The sequence below is a fragment of the Homo sapiens genome, chromosome 20 (assembly GCF_000001405.40).
Source record: "Homo sapiens chromosome 20, GRCh38.p14 Primary Assembly".
Lineage (NCBI taxonomy): Eukaryota > Metazoa > Chordata > Mammalia > Primates > Hominidae > Homo > Homo sapiens.
This window is the reverse complement of record NC_000020.11, coordinates 53181879-53203701: the sequence shown is the minus strand read 5'-3', so window position 1 is coordinate 53203701 and position 21823 is coordinate 53181879. Positions and strand designations below refer to the sequence as shown.

General features: G+C 42.0%; 1 protein-coding gene across 10 annotated transcripts in view, besides 1 other annotated feature; it reads right to left on the bottom strand.

Annotated features, from left to right (window-relative positions):
• Positions 1-21823, bottom strand: part of TSHZ2 (teashirt zinc finger homeobox 2) — a 522973-nt gene that overhangs the window by 291629 nt on the left and 209521 nt on the right. Inside the window, exon 1 of one of the 10 annotated variants that reach the window (NM_001193421.2) lies at positions 18026-18419. The exons of the other annotated variants lie outside the window; for them this stretch is intronic. Within the exon in view, the coding sequence (NP_001180350.1) occupies positions 18026-18056 (31 nt within the window). The 5' untranslated portion in view covers positions 18057-18419. Of the gene's footprint in view, positions 1-18025; positions 18420-21823 lie in introns of those variants that run through there. 10 annotated transcript variants of the gene reach the window in all.
• Positions 8478-8772: a silencer, noted in NCBI's record as "tiled region #9561; K562 Repressive non-DNase unmatched - State 13:Ctcf". NCBI's record gives its function as "represses a minimal TATA promoter and a strong SV40 promoter by Sharpr-MPRA in K562 cells {active_cell/tissue: K562}" and the evidence as "EXISTENCE:reporter gene assay evidence [ECO:0000049][PMID:27701403]".

Sequence of the window (21823 nt, the reverse complement as noted above, 5' to 3'; positions counted from 1 at the left end):
TTGGTAAAGCCTATGTCTGGCGATGAGACCACACTCCACCTGGCACCCTTGGCTGGAGATGAGTCTGCCCTCCTAGGGGAGGCAGTGTGGATGCTGGAGAATCTGCCTGCCATCCCACCCACTTCTTAGCCTCTCATGTCTCATTTATCACCATCTTTCTCATTTCCCACACCAGCCTGGCCCCTGTAGACCTATGAGTTTGAGACCCCCATGCCAAATCAATGAACCCTCAAAACAGAACTTAAAATTTGGGTGGAGGTGGGCACATCACTTGGGGTCAGGAGTTTGAGATCAGCCTGGCCAATATGGTGAAACCCCATCTCTACTAAAAATACAAAAATTAGCCAGGTATGGTGGTGGGTGCCTATAATCCCTGCTACTCAGGAAGCTGAGGCAGGAGAATTGTTTGAACCTAGGAGGCAGACGTTGCAGTGAGCCGAGATCGTGCCACTGCACTCCAGCCTGGGCAACAGAGTGAGACTCCGTCTCAAAAAAAAAAAAAAAAAAAAATTTGAGTCTGCTCAGACCCAGTTCTCTGCCTTGCACCTGTGAACTTCATTTGTCCTCTCAGCTTAAAGGTGAGTTGTGCCCATAGATTCATCTGAGGGAGCAGCTAAAGTTATATAAGGAGAGCTACAGCTCTGAATCTGACAATGATTCATATCGAGAAGGATGGAAAAGACTAAACAGCTCATATTGTGTCCCTTGATCTGCCTACGTATGATTCATCGCTAATGGCTTTGTACATAGCCATGGTAGCCAAGAGAGAAAGGCAGAGTGAATAGAGGGAGTGGCTGATCCCTCTCCTGAAACAGAAAAGCACCCCTGCCTCTCCCTCCCCAAGGCTGGAAGTATTACAAGTTATAGCATACATCAAAACCCAAAGCCTAAAGCCATCAACAAAACAGTTAAGTCTTGCTAGCTTCCAATGCTAAACCTGACTTCCCTTCGTTGGATCAAGGCACCCCAGGCAGCCTAGAATGAAGGCAATACAGTAAAGAATTCAAGAGCAAAGATTTAGAATTTAGACATTTCTGAAATGTATCCTCTGCCTATGCTACGGTGATTTGCATAAGTCTCAATCTTATGTTCTTCATCTGTAGAATGGGTTTAATAATAGCTTCTATTTCTTAAAGTTGCTGGGAAGATGGAGATAATATATATTAACATAAAGCACCGAGCTCAGTGGTCAACAAGCAGTAAGTGTTCGCTAAATTCTAGCAATGATTAAGGGGGCATATAAAATTATTACTAGTAAGTATCAACACAGCTACACTGCAGAGAATCATGTACCAAGTTGCAAAGTCTTTATATTAAGGTTAATTCTTTCTGTGCGACGATTCCAAACCACTTAGCCAACACGATGTCTCACATTTCACTTAGAAGAGAAAGTGATACACAGGATATTAGGTTCTTTTTCCACAATGGCCAAGCAAAGGTGTAGTGAGACTATAATTATAAAACCAAAGCCAGCAGGTACTCATCGACCCTCTACAATGCTCCAATCACCGAGGAAGGTCATGGGTAAAAGGAGTAACAGCTACTGCCTTTGTCCTCCAGCAGCAAAAGAAATGCTTGGAGAGAACATTAAATAGAAGCTGACAACAAAGGTGTGTTGCCATTTGTTTCCATACTGTCCATGTGAGCGACACATATGCAAAGGTAGTCTCTCTTGTTACTTGTGGTGGTTAGCGATGGGCAGAGAGAGAGGCTTACACCTGTCAGTACTGCCTTTGGAATACAACTGGGATCCAATCACTTCTGGCCTTCTCTGCCATTACTTCGCTACCCCAGCGGTTGTCAGCCAGGGCACATTTGGCAATGTCTGGAGATATTTTTGATTGTCACAACTTGCATGGGGGAGAGGTGCTACTGACATCTAGTGGGTCAAGGCCAGGGATGCTGCCAAACATTTAACAATGCATAGAGCAGCTCCCCATCCCACCACCCCACCAGCAAAAAAGGGTGTGGATCAAAATGTCCATAGTGCTGAGGCTTGAAACCTCACAGCCCTCAGCTTCACCCTTGTCCCTTGTGACAGGCGAGATCATGGCATCCAAAGATGTCTACGTCCGAATGTCCAGAACCTGTGAATGTCAGTTTATGTGACGAAAGGGACTTTGCTGATGTTAGAAAATTAAGGATCTTGAGATAAAGAGATTATCCTGGATTTTCCAGGTAGCCAAAATGAGAAGGACCCAAAGGGGCTTTATGAGAGGGAGGTGGGAGAATCGGAGTCAGGGAAGGTGATACGACAGCAGAACCAGAGGTCACCGTGATGCAATTCCCTGCTTGAAAATGGAAGGGAGCCCTGAGCCGAAGAATGCAGGCAGCTTTAGAAGCTGGAAAAAGAATCTCCTCTGGAGCCTCCCGAAGGAATGTGGGCCTACTGACACATCCATTTTAGCCCAGTGAAACTGGTTTCCAACTTCTGGCTTCCAGAAAGAAAGACAATGAATTTATGTTGCCTTATGCCACTACGTTTGTGATAATGTGTTATATCAGCAATCCAAAATGAATAACCTTTACAAATGTAAGTCAGATGAGTTTACTCTGCTCAGAACTCTTTGATAATTTCCCATTGTTCTTAGAAGTAAAAAGTCCCTACCCCAGCTATAAGACCTGCAATGATCTGATCCTTGCCATTTCTTTTGACTCAATTTCTTTTTTTCTTAAAAAAAAAAATTAATGGAAAATTTCAAACATATCCCAAAATAGATCCAATTGAATAATACATCTTCATTTACTATCAACCCATTCTAATATTTGTCAACCCAGGACAATCTTGCTTCATCTAAACCTCCAACCATTGTTCCCACCATAATTATTTTAAAGCAAATCTCTGACTTCATATCCTCTTATTCATAAATATTTTAGTATGTACTTCCAAAAGAAAAGAACTATTCTCCTTGTTTGTTTGTTCATTTGTGTTGAGAAACAACCAGTACTATTTATTTGGATGTCTGGGCCATGGTCGGTACCAACTATAGTTTCTGCTCTGTGAAGCCAAAACCAGAACAGGATACAAACAAACAAACAAACAAACAAACAAAAATCCCCCAAATCCCCAAAAACGCAGCAAGAAGGACTGTAAGAAGTCTTACAGAACATCCTCATCCACATGGGAGTGGTGAAGGCAGCACTCTTGTCTTTAATGCATATCCAATCTCCTCCTAATTTGAAACATAAGCATTCTCACATCCAAAAAAATAGTAACAATTACAGTTATCCGTAACGTCATAAAATACTCAAAGTTCAAGTTTCCAATCACTCCCAGATTTGACTCAGTTTCCTCCCCTCTCTCCTTCGTTCACTGTGCTCAGCCTTACTGGCATCCTTGGTGTTTCCTGGTTTTCAGGTGAAGGCTCACCTCAGGGCCCTTGCACTCGCTGTCACACAACCTGGAAACCCACCCCTTGGTTGGTCATGTGACACTGCATGAACATTGCCACTGTGGCAGGGAGGAGAGGCAAGATGGCAAGTTCCCAAGGAGACTGTGTATACCCTGAGGAAGTCCCCCTCCACCCGCCCACAAGAAGCAGCTCTTCCTCGCCATCCATTGCAGCTTCTGGCAATCGCACCCAATCCCTGGCAAAGCGTCTTGGTGTTCCATAATATGTTCTTGCTGATTGATTGATTGGTTGTTCCTCCCAGGATTGAGCTCTAAACTACCCTCATCTGATAAACTATTCCACATCTGAGTTTTATTTTCCCTTCCAAGAACCATAGCTGCAAGGTACCGCGTGGATGTGTGTTATGTCCCATGCTATACTACGTGATGTATACACATTTACTCCTCACAGGCACCTGTGCCATAGAAACCACTGCACATCCCCACTTGACAGATTAGAAGACTGAGGCTGTGGTGGGCAGAATTCTAAAATGATTCCTGGCTCACACGCTTCCTGCCCCCGATATACACTACACACACCTTTGCCCAGTTGTTCTACAAACACTAGTCTAGGCATTGCTGGGACGGAGTTTTTCAGATGTAACTGAGCTCCCAAATCAGATCACTGTAAAATGGGGAGATTATCCAGTGGGGGCCTAACCTAGTCACATGAGCCCCTAGATGTCAGAGATAAGGAAAGTCAGAGACTTGATGTGTTGGGATGTGATACTGGAGTTTCGCTGTCTCTGGCTTTGAAGACTGGGGACTGTAGAAGATGTCTACATTGAATAGACAATATTCATGTGTCTTGATTTTTTATTTTATTTTACTTTTTTTGAGATGGGGTCTCACCCTGTCTCCCAGGCTGGAGTATAGTGGCACAATCTTGGCTCACTGCAACTTCCACCTCCCAGGCTCAAGCAATTCTCATGCCTCTGCTTCCTGAGTAGCTGGGATTACAGGCGTGTGCCACCACGCCTGGCTGATTTTCTGTGTTTTCAGTAGAGACAGGGTTTCACTCCTGACCTCAAGCAATCCACCCGCCTCGGCCTCCCAAAGTGCTGGGATTACAGGAACAAGCCACTGCTCCCAGCCACATGTCTTGATTTTAGTTCTAAACACACTTGTAATAAATATAATTCTACAAACTAACATTTAATGAATGTTGGCTCTACGTCAGGCTCTGTAACGATGGCTTTGTATAGAACGCTTTATTTAAGCCATTTACATGGGAAAAACAGCAACACTCAGATGGGTGCTGGGGCCTGCCTAACATCACACAGTGGGCATCAGAGGTGGGATTCCAATAGTGATCTGAGGAAGTGTGTGCTCTAGTCGGGGCACCTTATTATTTCTTGTGAGTTTCAGCAGTGAAGGGATTAGGATTAGGACAGAGATGGCTCTCTGATCCTTATTTTCTAGTGTCATTAATATTCTCAAAATATTAGATATATTTCAAAACTAGCCACCATTATGTTTAAGTTCAAGCCTTAACATGCCCAAGGACATGGTATGGCATTGATTATCAAAGCTGAATCCCAAGTCGGAATAAGCCAGCTCTGGCTCAGCCTCTAATTGTTTAACTCAGGACAAGTCTTGGAGTTCCTCTGGGTTTAGTTATTTCAAAGGTAAAGTAAGATATTTGAAAGGGATAATTTCCAATATGCTTTGCAGTTTTGAAATAGTGAAAAAAAAATCAAGAAGGTAAAAGCTTATAAATTAACTTACATTTTTCATTTTAAGCAAAATTTCCCATTTGACTTGGCTCAGGAATCAGTGTTGAGATTTGACGTGTGGTTCCTTTACTTATCAGCTATGTGACCTCAATTTCAATTTCATTACTCCTCAATTTCCCTATCTGCAAAATGGGATTAAGTCTTATACCTACTTCCTAGGGTGTTTTGAGGATCCAGTGTGATAACGTGTATAAAACACTAAAAGAGCTTCCAGAGGTACTCAGTTCATGTGGCACATGAGCCATCTCTTCCCCACTCTAACCTTAGAAAATGAAGGCAAGTTCTTGTACTTCACACACAAAAATCCCGTAATGACCTGAATGATGGCTGATTCTTAACTGGGCTCCAGAGACACTGGATGGGCTTCCCAGGATGCCAGAACCCTGAAATTACAGGTAATGCTTATGTGTATGCTGAGTGAGAAGGTGTTAGCTTTTACCAAATTCTCAATGGATCCCCATCACAGATATTTCCTGCCCTAGAAGACTCCTATTTTTTTTTCTAATGTTAACTTTCATGTCCTTTGGACATATTCAAGGGAACGAATTGGAGTCTGGAAAACGAGATCATCTTTACGGAACCATGGAAGAATTCTTGGCCAAAGAGAAACTTTATTGCCTGTCGGGTCACCTTCTGGCTAAAATGCCCATGCTTACTTCAAAGCAAATGGGCTGAATTTTACTGCTACCTGGGTTTGCTTGTTGTTTTTCCTTTGAGTTGAGCTGAAAAATGTCCTCCCTTGGTGCTGGAAAAAACCATATAAGCTCAAAGGAACAGCCAATTAAAGGTCAGAAATTCAAATGTTTGTCTGTTCTGGCCCAGTATAAATGGGTGGCTGTCAGGTAGAAGCAGCCATGCCTGCAACAGCATTTTGCAGAAACGGGAGACTCGGTTCCTCCGTTTGAACTTGGTAACATTTAAATATCAAAAACTTTGTTTTCTAATGGGGAATGTATCGAAGGGGGAGAAATAAATTATATGCTTGATGGCAACTGAAGGTTGGGAAAATTAGGGCCATTTCCCACAGTGTGAATACGGTGATTTCAGTTTGCAAGAGTAAATTAAACCTTTGGGAGGATTTGTCTTCCATTAAATTGAACAGCTAAATAGACACAGAAGATGTTAATGTCACCAACAGGAAACCCCAAAGGTTACAAATAAAAAGAAAACATAGTTTTGTTAAAAGTCTTCTCCTTTGCACGCACCTACCTAAGAAATGCAAAACCCAAAACTGCACGTTGAGAATCAAAATTTTTTTAAAAATTAAAAGATCATAATTCCATTGCTATACCATATGTTATTAATGTCTGTCAACACTGTTTAGCCAGCAACTGCTGACAGTTTCATATTTGCTATCTAAATACATCATAAATAAATCAGTAATGAACCACTTTGGTAAACCTTCCTCGCTGATTGGAAATACAGATGGAGTAAACAAACTGCTAAAAGTATATACAACTGTTTAATGTCAAAGACAAAGTCACACTGTTATTTGACAAAATGAAAACGAGGATGGGGCTGATGGGAGGAAAAATTACCGATTATGGAGAGAGAAGGTAGGAAGGAGGAAGGCAACTTCTGTGTTTAGACACACACAGCTTGAAATTTTCTGTGTAAAAAGAAAAGTCCCAGGGGAAATTGGACATAGGGAAGCTGAGGCTGTACTGCATATTCCTGGCTTCCAGCCAGTGGATTAATGTGTATGCATCTGGACAATTTATTTAAATTTGCCACCATGGCAAATCTGGCAAATATGCCTCACCAAATACAGATCTGTGAAGACTTGCACCACTCAGAGTTGAATACCTTAGAAATACCTGGAATTCTAGGCAGGATGCTAACCAGAAAACACTGACCCACATGTTGTGTGAATAAGATCGTATATATATTTTTTGTCTGCCTGTTTTTAAAAGGGGGGTAATTCACCATTCTAAATGCTTCCGACAAGACATCATGAAACAAGGTATCATAGTAATGGGCTAGGTTCAGACAGAAAGAGCAGGACTATTTTAATTTAATTACATTTTCTTTTTCTTTCCAGAGTCCTTCCTATAATTCCGGGTTCCTTCAAGTAAGAGGTCGGGGTGAGTTGACCGCAATCAGGCCTCCTAACTTTATATCTGAGGTGCCATGCTAATTAAGAACTTCACTAGGTGGCGTATTCTAATTTGTTGAAAGCACATTTTTTTTTTTTTTTTTTTTTTTTTTAGCAGCAGATTCTTGATGCCTCCGGGATGTTGTCTCTTGGCCTGAACAAGATTTGCAGAAATGTACAATTATTCTAGGGACAGACAATATTGAGAAGGGAGAATTCCTCTTGCTCATTGAGAGGGAAAGGGACTCTCAAAGTTGTCTATTAGTTCCATGAGCTGAACAACTTGCTTCCTTATTGTCAGCGCCTAGAAAATTCTTTTGATCAGAGGCATAATGAAATCCATGTGGCATAAACAGAAGACGTCGTATCGATGGAATTCAAATGGCAGTCAGTAGCTGACTTCACAACAGAGACCCGACAGAAGCCCTTTCTGTGATAGGCTGCGACGCAGAAGCCGAGACTGGCCCCCTTGTTATGCCTTCCCAACGAGCCATCCACGCTGCTCTTAGCACAAAAAAATAGAATACATCATTCTGAATGGGCACATTAATCTGCAGGCTCTCCGTTTCTAAGTCACCTGCAGTTAGGTCTGCAGACACTGTGTATACCATATAAATCTGATTTCTGAGCAGGAGGGAGGGCAGAAGAGAGAAGGGCTGCTCCGTGAAATACTAGTTCGGCAACAGTTTACCTGCCTTCCAAGGCTGTTAGGAGGATTCATGGCTCTGGGTCATTTAAAGTTTGAAAAGATCCTTGTGCTCTTTCCAAGAAAGATAAAATCCTAAGACTAGCCACTTTGTATGCTGGAAAGTGAGAATGCTGGGTAAAGAGGGGACCCGTCAGGGTCACTGTCCTGGTAAACTGAGGTGCCTTAATCCTTGAAGACTAAATAAGTGCTAATTTTTGGAAAAATGAAGACCGCAGGCACATTTGTGACCTGTATTTGAAAACATCCAAGTCCTGAGCCCCTCAAGCACCATCTGAGGAGGAGTTCTTATGAAAACACAGTTTAGATGATGAACGTTCATATTTTACAAACCTTCACTTTATTTACCTGTATATCTTTCACCAATATAGTTGTTTTCATCAGCTTACCATGGGAAAACAGAGCTATGCACAATTCAGGAACAAAATCGCTTTCAACCAAATGCAGACTCTGAACAAATAGATCCCAAGAATATATATGTGTGTGTGTGTATATATATATATTTATTTATTTTTTCATTAATGACCCGCAATTACTAGTTGCAGACTTCTGGTAGGTGAGCACGCCCATTCATTCAATGCCAGTTGCCTGGATTTTGCTTCTACCAGGTGTGCCATGTCTCAAAGCCTTAATCCTGCATGACTGGAATCAGCCAGAAGGGGAGATCTGGCCCTGCAAAAGTCCTGCTCCTCTGCCTGCAAGTTTCAGTCTCACCCCTTGCCACCAATCCCCACCTTCCCGAAGGTGACAAAGGGACAGAGAGTCACAGAGTGATAGAGACATGAAAAAAAGTGTGGGAGGAGGAGAGGACTGTTAATTTACAAAGCCTGAAATAGCAGCTGCTAATGGGTCTTTGCACTCATTCTGTAATCTTTGCAAGGTCACAATCAGAACTAGCCTGTGATTGATTCCAAAGTGAAACTCAGCACTTCACATCCATAATGGACATTTCAAAACAGAATAGAGCTGGTTCAGGAATCTGTGTGTTTCTCAAGTCACCGGGAGCGAGTTTCTCTTCCTGCCTGGGCTGGGTGGAGCTGGCCCAGGCCTTACCCAGGCCTTAATAATGATCACATTAGGTGAAGTAATTAATGCCACTGACTTAATGAGTCCCTATCAATTGCCCAAGCCCCCTCAACTGCCATCTTACAAAGTTTCCTTCTTGGACAGCGACCCTGAAACATACCCCTAAAGGGTTAAGGGGAATGAGTGACAACCCTTCGGTATGATTTACAATGTGGAGCCCTGTAGTGAAACCAGGACTTGATGGATGATGCTGAAAGTCGGAGACTAACCATAAATCATGTCTTTGAATCACTGACAAAGATAAAGGAGAGAAAGAAAACGCAGTGGCATTGACATTCACTCTCCCAATAATGTACGTTGACTAGTTACAATGTGGAGCCTTAATTTAAAAAAGCCAACTAGAGGTATTCACCTCAGCTGGGAGATCCTACCTCGTGGGAGGCTGCTCTTAGAGATTACAAATCAGGGTTTGAGCCTCTTTCATGAAGGTCATTACCAGTGGCAGAGGACATTCTATGTAAGCAACAGCAGGCTCCCAACAAAACAGAAGACACATATCAACAAAACAAAACAGAAGAGTTCGGGGAACTGGTCAAGAATCCTGCCATTGTGCTCATGGAAGGCCATCACTAGAGATGATGGACATCAAGAGGGAATCAGTGAACTACCATCCAACAGACTGTGTTTTCCATCAGGAAAGCACTCAAATCAGATAAATGAATCATCAGAGGTGGTCAAAAGACACACATAGGTCAAGCAATACAACTTGTGTTCCAAAGTCTGAGCACTGAGGAGGAGGGAAATGAGAACCTCCCCGTTGTCCACTTTGTCTTTTATGCGGAATGCTAGAGAAACTGACTCCTCTTCCTCAGGTTCAAGGTTCCTCCCTCTTACTGTCAACTCCCTCAGGTTCAAGGTTCCTCCCTCTTATTGTCAACTCAACATGGGTTTCCTCTTAGCTCAAGAAGAGACCTGCTTTCCTACAGCGGATGGCAGTGGCAATCTCTGATGTGCTGCTTCTATTATTCAACAGATATACACTGAGCCCCTGCCAGGCTGTAGACCATTCCTGTGGTACGAGCACTGAAAAGAAAGGGTGGGTGCCTGTATGAATTCAACCCATTGAAAAAAGTTATTTAACATCAGCTGTGTTCTAGGCACCTTCTTGGTTAGATTTGGGGAACAGTGATGAACGAGACAGATCTGGTTCCAGTCATCAATTACATTATAGTGTCACAGGGAGACAACATACAAAAGAGAGAACAAATAGGATGAATGTTACAAAAGGGGGTGTGTTGGGGGGCAAAGGCAGTGCATAACGAGTTGATGACAGCAGCCACTGCCTGGGTGCAGAGCCCCTAAGGATACATGCTCTTGACTTAACAGGATTGCGAACGGCAATGTGTCTGGAGCAGTTGTCAGCCCAGGAGAAGGGAACAAGACAAAGAGGGTAGGAAACAGAAGACTGGAAACATTTTCTTATTTTTTCTCTGAATCTCTAGGAGTTGATATGAGATCCTTTTCTGAATACAGGAAACCAGAGGTGGTGTTTTTTTTTTCTTTTTTCTTTTTTTTTTTTTGAAAGTATTTTTAAAACCCTTTGCCCAAAGGAGGAACATTCTTCATGGTTCTATACAGACGACACAGGTAGGTGGTTACCATACTCTGTTTTGGGGTCTTCCACACCATCCTATGGACAAGTAGAGTGGATAAGAGCGTTCCGCATGTCCCCACTGTGGTGTTTACCTGCTGGCACAGCCGCTCTGCCCATGGGCAAAGATCATAGAAGATTCCCACTTTGAACTCAGTGACACCTTAGCATCCCTGGCTTAGATCCTATCTCAACCTGAGGAATCTTGTATTCCAGCCCTGAGAAAAATCATCTTTCTCAACAGGATCCAGCCAAAACAATGAAAAGTTTGGAAAAATTGCCCAATGATGAAAATCAGGAGATGTGAGCTCAAGTTGTAGGAGAAAGACCCAGGTTTTCTTCAGATTCCAGCATTGCCAATGAGAAGCCAGAGACCTCGAGATAAATACCTCACCTTGTGTATTTTCCTTCTCTCATCTTCTGTCAGGAGACACCCAGGAGAGCCCTTCTGTCCTGGTCTTTACATTCTGCCCTGTCCCCTTCTCTGGGCAGCCAATTCATAGACCAGTTGTTGTGGGTTTTTTTTTTTTTTTTCCAGACACTAAATTGTCCTTCCTTTTGTGCTCACCTTAAAATTGGAAAGATCTCATTGGTTTTCCAGCTCCCAAATGCCCACAAGGGAGTCACCACCTTACCACTTTCTCCCTTTCTTTTTTACTCTACATTTACTAAGCTTTTGCTCTGTGCCAGGCCCTGTGTTAGAAAGTGACAATGTAATACACAAAGGAGGTTGTCCTTGTCCTTTGGAAGCCTTCTTGTCTGACATGCACAAGCAAAGTTGTTTTTTTGTTTTTTTTTTTTTTTAGCCAGAGAAGGGTTAGAACAGCGTGGATCTCAAAATTGTCCATTATGTTGCTCTGGCACTTGCATCTCGCTGATGTCTATTTAACAGGTACAATGAAAAATCAACCTCTTGTGCTTATTAGCTGTGTGACTTTCTGCAAGTTGATCAACCACTCTGAGCCTCCATTTCCCTGTTCATAAAACCAAGTTAATAATATTATCTCCTTGTAAGATTGTTTTGCACATACTTTAAGCACTGAATGTTATAAAATGTTCACTGCTATTGTGATTTTTAAAATTTAATTTAATTTTTCTAACCCCATGCATTTTGAGTTAACTAGACTGGAACCAAAGCAAAATAAAAAGAGACAATCTCAGCACTCTCCTCCAAAAAAGACAAAGAATAAGTGAAAAGAAAGGAAGACTCATCAATATAGAAACAATCACATGTGTATGTATGCCTGCTGACATGTATGTATATTTCTCTTTAACATATGTCATCTCTTTGTGTCTATGTCAGACTTCCTTACAGTACTTTCTGTTCGGTACTTGACAGGTCCTAATATTCAATCAGTGCTGGGGAACAAGTGATAAGACAAAAGGAAAGAAGGGTTCCAAAGTGAAGATGTGTAGTTTAACTCAATTTTTTTTGAGACAGAGTCTGGCTCTGTCACCCAGGCTGGAGCGCAGTGGTGCAATCCCAGCTCACTGCAGCCTCCGCCTCCTGGGTTCAAGTGATTCTCCCACTTCAGCATCCCAAGTGGCTGAGACTACAGCCACGTGCCACCACACCCAGCTAATGTTTGTAATTTTAGTAGAGACAGAGTTTCACCATGTTGCCCAGGCTGGTTTCAAACTCCTGGCCTCAAGTGATCCACCCGCCTCGGCCTCTCAAAGTGCTGAGATTACAAGCGTGAGCCACCACACCTGGCCAGTAGTTTAACTTTTTATAACATTTCATGAATGTTATGTAATGGATATTCATGGAATGGAGTAGAGAAATATTGCTTAATTGAGGCTGACCATGAAAACTCATAAAACCCTATATTCACTGTATAATGCATAGTTATGAATAATATATTTAACTGCATAGGTCATATACATTACATATACAATACAATACGTAATAATGTTTGATTTGTACATATATATATATGCACATGTGTATGTATACGTGTGTATATTTTGATAATACATAACAAACCCAGAGTGGCCAAGAAGCTATGAGATATACAGCAAGGACGTTTTGGGAAATGACTAGAAATGTAACTAATTTTCTGTGCTCCCTGAACCATCAGGAAGGTCAACCTTCTTTTTCTTTAGCATTCATTAGCAGAAGCAAATAGTGATATTTAACCATTCATGATTCATCACATTCATTTCACAAAAAAAATGTACCCTGGGACCCCCTGCTACACCCATGGAAACATCCCAGCCTTTGTCCTTGGAGGCTCAGTAGAAATTCTGCCCTCGGTAGGGTGATGCCCACTTTTTGTTTTATAGATGCAGGAGACTTGGGGAAAGTCTAGGGCTTATCACTGGAAGAAATGTGGGTTTGAAATCCGGTGTTCAGCTACCTGGAAGCTTTTATGTTGGTTTTGAACTTCACATACATTAAAACTGCATCATCTATCAATCTTGCAGTTACATGTCACTTATGAAAATCTACTGAGTATTGTTTTCATCTTGCCTTACAACAAGCTGCGAAGCCTCATGAATACTGAATAGTGCTGGAAATACAGCACATCTTTTATTTTTAAAGGTCTCGACAGTTTGGAATGGCAGGATTTCTTTGTTGAAAACGGCACCTCTGCACACGGATTGGGGCTCTCTACTCCATTTTCCATTCTGCCCAGGAGCAAGAGGCACCCTCGCCCTGCATCATTAGAACCACTAGAGGGGTGTTGCTGCTGCTGCTGCCACTTCCTGTCTTTGAACCCCCTTGGTGTAAGTCATTAATGGGGGCTGTGTGGTTCAAGTGGGACATTATTATTCAGATACCAGCTCGCAAGGAAACAACTGGTTGGACAACCTACTTAGCCATTTTGCCAGCTTGCCTGGTAATCTATTCTCATCCTTATTTTAATTTAATGAGAGAAAGAAAGAGAAAGAGAGACCTAAACACACAGAAACACAGATAGCGATATACAAAAAGAAACAGAGGCATTTAAGAAAATATATATATATATATATATATATATATATATATATATATATATATATATATTTGAGACAGGGTCTTGTTTGGTCACCCAGGCTGGAGTACAGTGGCATGATCATGGCTCATAGCAACCTCAACCTGCCCTGGCTCGGGTGATCCTCCCACCTCAGCCTCCTGAGTAGCTGGCACTACAAGCATGTGCCATCACGCTCAGCTAATTTTTGTATTTTTCGTAGACATGAGGTTTCACCATGTTGCTCAGGCTGGTCTCGAACTCCCAAGCTTAAGCAATCTGCCCACCTTGGCCTCCCAAAGTGCTGGGATTGTAGGCGTGAGCCATTGTGTCTGGCCCAGACATTTAAGAATTAATCAAGCAGGGATAAGTGCATTTTATTGTACTTTCCTTTCTATCACTCATTTATTCTATAAATATTTCCTGAGCAGTTGCTTTACATTGCATACCAGGGATACAGAGCTGAAGAAGAGAGACAGCATCTCTGCTCACGTGGCTCTTACACTCTTGATGTGGAAAAGGATGATGAGGATGAGGATACTAATATGTGGTCTGAATATGGTGCTTATAATGTGCCAGGCATTGTTCCAAACACTTTATGAATTTGTTCCAAGCATTCTACCAATAATCATGTAGTTAATTCTTGTAACAACCATGTGAGGTACCATTATTAATGTTTCTACAGAGTATTTTCTCTGAAAACAAGCAAACAGAAAAATCAGGTGATCTGATACCACTGAGTCCATATTTCTTGCACAGAGCTGAACAGAGATTCCCTTTCAGTTTAAATGTGTGCCCTGGAGTTCACCATTGTCTGCACCACTTTATGGTCTGACTTCCATTTGACTTATGTCATCTACCTGCTTCTTGCAGCTATTTGCATATTCTGGTTTAATAGAACGGGCCTTCCAAGGTGTAGGTTTCTTTGCTCTGGAAAGCTCATGGAAAAGGATGGAAATCTTTTTCCCTAGAACTCTGCTAGATTCTGAATTTAGAATTTCAGGGGAAAGTTTTTCTCGTTACATTTGTACACCTTGTCATAATTTCAAACATGTACAATAAATAAATGATATGCAAATCCTTGTGTGACCTATTAGAAATGGCATGAGGAAAGAATCTGCTACTTCTAAGCTGTGTGCTTTTGAGCAAAGAATGTTAGCTCTCTCCAACCTCATCTCTGTCATCTGAAAAATGGGGATAATCATATTTCCTCATAGACATGTTATAAGGATTAAATGCACTAATGTACATATATGCCTGGTATACAGTAGGTATATAATTTAAAATATTGATACATATAAGTACTTGCTAATCAGGTTCTTATATACGTAAGAACCGTATATATATAGGCAATTTACGTTCTTATAACTTAGGCAGCTGGTTCATAGGTATACTGAATTTATGAGAGTATGAATGTTTATTAATATGTATTCATATGTATATGTGTGTGTAAGATGGAGCTAGACATATATATTTAATTATATACCTATTTGGACCTATTTCTTCTATGGACTAGCACCAAATCCTAACAAGGCTTGTGGACATTTATTCTGTCTCATAGCCCTTGTGTATTCTACAGACCCTCTCCATTGTCTAGCAAGTGCATTTCATTAATTTAGAAAGATGCTGTTGAGAAAGTATGGACTCATCACCAAAAAGCTTCTCTGTCCTAGAGAAATCAAAGTGAAGAGCAGGCTCCAGGAAACAAGGTTGCTTAGCATTGCCTTGTATCTCTAGTCCAATGTAGATTTTACACTGAACATTGAAAACCTGGTGAACTTTTCTGAAAATAACTTGATCGACTCCCAGTTAGGAGCAGATTCATGTCAGGCGCTTCTCCAAAAGTCCCCTCGGCTGTAGAGCTGGGGGAACAGGCATGTTGTACCATTTATGTAATGATACATGGCTGGCCCTCCCCTCCCCCTTAAAGAAGGCAGAGAGAAATGATAGTCATTGCCGCCATGCAAAGTCGCATTGGAATTGTGGGAGCATTTTGGTTTTCATGAATTTTGAGAAGGGAACTGTGGGCACAAAACTACTGCTATTTGTCCTGACAAACTGCCTGTTCTGATGAATTAAGTGTCATGATTGTAACCCACGAATACCTTCAGTTCCAGGAACAGAAAGTCTTCCAGACTTGCTTCGTGCCACATTTCTGAGGGTTCTAATGATATATGGAGAGGGTGAGCCATGTTACCAGGAGGCGGGTGGTTTAAGGGTAGCAGGAGCTGCCTGAGCCACGCTTTTGGAGATGGGAGGTATGCATATGTTAGAGACAGCCACACTTTACTGATTTCCCATTTTCCCTCATGATAGCACCACCCTTTTCCCTCAGATCACTTTTTCTCAGAAATGCTCCATCTGAATAAAATTATTATCCCAAGCACATATTTTTTTTTTTCTTTCCCATCAGCATTTCCTGTCCTCTCACCTTAAAAAAAAACAGCACTGAGAACTTTTCAACCAAATGCAGCCATGTGGAGCTTGAGTTGTTTCAGATTTACACAGGCCCTCTGCTAACATCCTGTCGGGTGCTAAAATCCCACAGCTGTTCTGCTGGGACCACCCGGCTAGCCACGGACCACATCTGACAAAATGATACTGCTCGCTTCCAGAACTCCTCACACAGTTATTCTTGGATAAAAGGTAAAGCAAATAGCAAGCCAACTGCTCACTGCTGCAGAAACAAAGACCATCTAGCCATTTATCAAAGCTCGAGACACCGGTTTGCTTTAAACACAGACACCTCTCCCATTACAGCTTTAAACGATAACACGATATTATATCAGAAATGACAAATGGCACAGGTGGGGCCTAACCTATACACAATCGATACCTGCTCAGAAGTAAGAACCATCTTGAACGTATCGACAGAAGGAACAGGAATTCTCATAATACTGCAATGTTTTCTTGGTGTTGTGTTGGAACCAGAGGCCAACAGTATTCATCTGGGCATGACATTTTTTCACCAGCGATGTGTAGCCCCCAGACGTGCGGCGAGTGTCAAATCATTATCACTGTCCTGTATCTATGCTATATTGGATTCTAAAAGGCCCAGGCCAAGGAAATTGATTAGGTTGCTCCCTCCACAGCTTAAAACTCATTTTGGCTATATACACACAAAGAAAGGGGCTCCTCGAACTACCAGGCTCCATGAAAAATGGCAGAAGTGTAATTAAGGAGATTATGCCCTAGGGGTTTCTTTCGACCTGGCCCCAAAATATATATATATATATATTAAACCCTAGTGTCCCTGCGCACACACTGCCCCCAAGAGGAGACAAGCTTTCATGTTTAGATTGCAAAGAAGTAACTCTCCCCCAAGTGATTGATGAGGGGAGATTGTTAATACGGCTGCTGCCTCCCTCCCCCGTGTGGTTGTATTTAGGTGGATGCCAGACAGAGAATGACTTGGAAATGGGATAAAAGACTCAAAGCAAAGGCGGGTGGCAGAGAGGAGAGGTGGTGTGATGAATGCCTGCAGGCAGGTGAAAAGAAACCTTCTTCAATAATGGGGGTACCTCGGTTTGACATGCTGCCCTGAAAACAATACAGGTGGTGAGGATGGCAACCTGAGACCACTCAGAAAAAGTGAGATGGATGTGAGCACATATAGAGTTTTCTTCCTAGAGCTGACTGCTTGACCCCAAACCCTCAAACTATTACTTGCAGTATTTTATCAAAGACACAGACTTGCAGAGCTTCAAGCCTAGGGTTTCTGATTCAGTACGTTTGCAGTGGGTTTTTGAAAGTTGTATTGTAGAAAAGTCTTCAGGCAATTCTGAGTTTCAGCCAGGTTTGAACACCGATGGCTTAAACCACTGGTGAGCTGGTAAATCTTTAATACCCAGCTCTAAAAGAATGTCCTAAATTGAAACATTTGATGATTGTAATGGTATAATTATTCCTGCTATGGACAATTGCAAGGAGCCACTGAAGGAGATGGAAAGAGAGATGCACACAAATAGCAACAGCTGGACAACACAAGCTGGCCCCAGCCTTCCACCAGCTTACATCAAAGGGAAATATGAATCAAGTTAATAAGAGCGTGTGATAGGGAGAAGCCAAATCAATGTTAGTCATAGTGAGAAAGGAGAGACATTGGAAGCGTTTGCAGCAGGGCTGATTAAAGCCCTCTTTATGTCAGTAAGAAATCCACCCAAGTGCCAGTCCCAAGATGGCACCATTCACAGTAACCCTCGACTTGGACTAATGTTCACCTGAGTTCTAAAAGCCATGATGAAAGAATCAAAGTTAAGAGCCAACAAAATGATTGTAGTCTGCTGATAGATATGGAAAAAGTATCATTTAAAAACTCAATTAAATTACTGATACAAGCAAGGGATTATTAATTAGTGTTCAAACCATTAAGAAAATGGTTGAAGGGCAACTGAACATCCATTTAGCAAGAGAATAGAGCCATAGGGATGACTTTCTAGCAGCAAGTGGGTAAACTGTTGTACCTGTATAATGGAGCAACGCAGCAGCCATCATCTTTTCTTTCTTTTTTTTCTTTTTTTGAGATGGAGTCTTGCTCTGTATCCCCAGCTGGAGTGCAGTGGCGTGATCTCAGCTCACTGCAACCTCTGCCTCCTGGGTCCCAGTTCAAGGAATTCTCCTGCCTCAGCCTCCTGAGGTTTCACCATGTTGGCCAGGCTGGTCTTGAACTCCTGACCTCATGATCTGATCTGCCTGCCTCGGCCTCCCAAAGTGCTGGAATCACAGGCTTGAACCACCTCGCCTGGCCACCATCATCTTAAGTCAGAGGCTATCACCAATTTTGGAGCAAACAGATTTTGTGTTTTCAGATGTATTGCAATAGAGCCTACATGTCGGGTGTGTTCTAGAAAAATAAATGTCCAATTTGAACCCACGAGGTTTTATGCATCACTTCTACAGGGGTTGGAGAAACAGGCTAAATGACAGTAAAAAGCTCCCAGACAAATTCAGAGGAAAGACATTCTTCAAAACAATTGGCTCAATCTCTTCTATAATTCTGGGTCATAAAAAGATGAAAGATTTTAAAAAATGTATAAACAAAACAACTGGATAAAACACGTGTTCCTGAATTTAGGAACAGTCCGACCAATCCAGCTGAAAAGGATATTTATGGCATAACTGGAAGAATATGATTATGGTCTGAATATTTAAGCCTGTAATCCCAGCACTTTAGGAGGCCAATGCGGGCAGATCACTTGAGGCCAGGAGTTTGAGAGCAGCCATGGCCAACATGGTGAAATCCCATCTATACTAAAAATATAAAAATTAACAAGGCATGGTGGTGCACGGTTGTAATCCCAGCAACTCAGGAGCTGAGGCATGAGTATTGTTTGAACTCGGGAGGCAGAGGATGCAGTGAGCCAAGACTGTGCCACTGCACTCCAGCCTGGGCAACAGAGTGAGATTCTGTCTCAAAAAATTATAAAATTAGAAAAATTAAAAACAATAAAAATTATTAAAATGAAAAATAGAGATTGTTGACTGAAAATAGCAGGTTATATAACAGCATGTCTATTACAGTCTTGTGTTTAAATATACATATATGCACAGAGAATGTTCTGGAAGTAGGCACTGATGTTAGTAGTGTGATCTTTGGGTGATGGATGTTTTTATTTTCTTATTTATGTTTGTTCCTATTTTATAATGCCTTAAAATTCACATTTTGCTTCTGTCATTTTAAAAAAGATTATTTTTAAAAAGGAGTAAAATGCTCAGAAAAACAATATTGACCTCCAAAACACAGTAACTCCAAGATGCGTTAAAATTCAGAAAAAGTCAGTCAAATGCATTTATCTCAGTGGTTTTGTTCACCACTGCATTCCCAGAAACATGGTACAGAATATGCCATATGGTAGCTGCTTAGCAAATATTTGTTGATTGAATCAAATCCAAAAATCATTTCAAATTCCATAAAGGACAACTGACCTTGGTGATTGGGAAGGGGTGAAGGAAGGAGAGAATGCATGGAAAGATGATTTATTTGATGATGCTGTGTTGCAAAGCCACAGTCCCACAAGAGGCCACAAAGAGAGAAAAATGGCAGGATGAAGGCAAAATACAAGTTGAGATGCATTCAGGAGGTGAAGCGACTGAGAGGGAACTGACTGTTGGCCTTGGCATTGCACGTCTTCTGGATAGCGTTGTGGGCAATGGTGCTGCCAGGCAGGACTCCCTTCATTTCTCTCAGGATAACACTCCTGAGGCCAACGGGGAGACTGGAGCCACCCACATCCCAAAAGCATCCAGAGAAGTGGATGCAATCTGCAGAGCAGCCTTGCTCTCACACCTTTGTTTCCTTCGAATGGTTGACCCATCCTGGCTACTCTAACGATGCTGCCTTGTGAAAATAAAAACTTAAAAAGACAATACTTTGTGTTGCCTCAAGATACAAGGCAGTGGCAGTGGCTTTAATTTCAGGAAATCAGGTCCCTAGTATGTCAGTCACTGATCAGCTGAATGTCTTATCCTGCATTCCAGGAAACTCCTGAGAGCTGTGTGTGATCAGTTTTCCATGAGAAATGTGAGAGGAAGCTGAGTATATGTGTGTGTGTGGTTGTGTATGAAGGATCTGCTCACACACAGCTGAGCCTTGAATCCTGCCAAACAGAATCATCCCCCTACAATTAAAAGAAAACACTTTTTCAAGCCCCTGCCACAATCCCTGGCTATGCCCCGCTTTGGCTTCCACCTGCTCTGCATGTGGGTTACTGTAAATACCGCAGGCAAAGGGAATGGGCCAGGCTAATATGAATACTGACCCGAGCAGCATCTTCACTCAGGGACGCAGAGGATGGCCACATCCAAATTCTTAGACTCCACACCCTTGTGCTTTTTCAATCAATCTTGACTTCAAAGGGGCCCTTACACATTGGGTGACCTGAAATATTCTCGAGGGAAACACATCTTGAGAGCTTTGCCCGTAATATCCTTTGAACTTTTTCACATCAGCACAGGGTGGGAATGGTTGGGTTGGGAGAATGCCCTAATTTCATTGAAGTTTTGTCTCCCAGCCAGGGGAAGGGTCCTTTCTCAGCTGCCAGGGATCCAGTACACACTGTTCTTTGGGTAATGTTGAAAAATGAGTCTCAACCTCATTGCTTGCATGTCTTTTGCTCAGTACACCAAGTTCAAGGAGAAGTGGGGAGAACAGGCCACTTGTCCTGACTGAAAGGGTTTGTAAAGTTCCATCTTAACAATCATTAGATTTGTTCCATCTAGCAATCATTAAAACGCCATGAGGTGACTTCATTAAATATCAGTAAATAATGGTTTGTGTCTAAATTTGGGGTTATTAGAACATTGAACACACATAGGCTGTATCCCTGTTCAAAGAGAGGAGAGACACACAGAGAGAGAATGAATTACAGAGGAAAAGATGAGAGACACTCATCTTTAAACATTCTGGGAACAAATTTGGCAGAAAACCCTCCTGGTAGTTGGTTGTTTTTTACTCTGAGCACGTTTATCAAAGGGAAAGAGAGAAGTTCAGATTACCAAAAGTTAGAGAGATTCTTTGGCAAAATGTATACCATTTTAATTAATCATTAGCAGGTGTTAAATAATTTGATCCCTTTACTTGACTTAATACCATTAAATAATCATTTAGTCAATCATTTGTAACTGTTTAATGTCTGTTTAGACTGGAAATGCCATGAGGGCAAACCCCGCCCACCTCGTTACCTCTATGCAGAGGTGGCTCATGACTGGATAATCCACTTTTGCATGGATCAGAGTACTTTGCCCATATTTGTTAAATGAATGAACAAATGAATGAATGACTGAAGCTCTAAAACCATGCTGGAGCCATAATGAAGATTTACTAAATATTGAAGGGAGAGAGGGAGGGAGGCAGGGACGGAGGAGGGAGGGAAGAAGGAGAGAAAAAATGATAGAAGGAAGGAAGGAGGGAGTCAAGAGGGAAGGAGGGAGTGAGGAAGAGAAGAAGAAAGAAAGAAAAGGAAGGAAGAAAGAAAGAAAAGGAAGAGAGGGAGGGAGGGAGAGAAGGGAGGGAGAGAAAGAAGGGAGGAAGGAAGGAAGGAAGGAAAGGAAGGCAGGCCGGCCTAGGCACTATATGTGGCACGTAGTAGGTGTTTGATGGGGCAACATGGACTGATGCATAATATCCTAAGATCATCAAATAAAAAGTCAGAGAATTGAGGCCCACATGTTGCTACCATCACTTCTTCACCTATTTCATTCATTTAATTTTTTTAAAACCATGTTTTGCTAAATTCAGTCTTTCTGGTCAGCCACACTGGCTG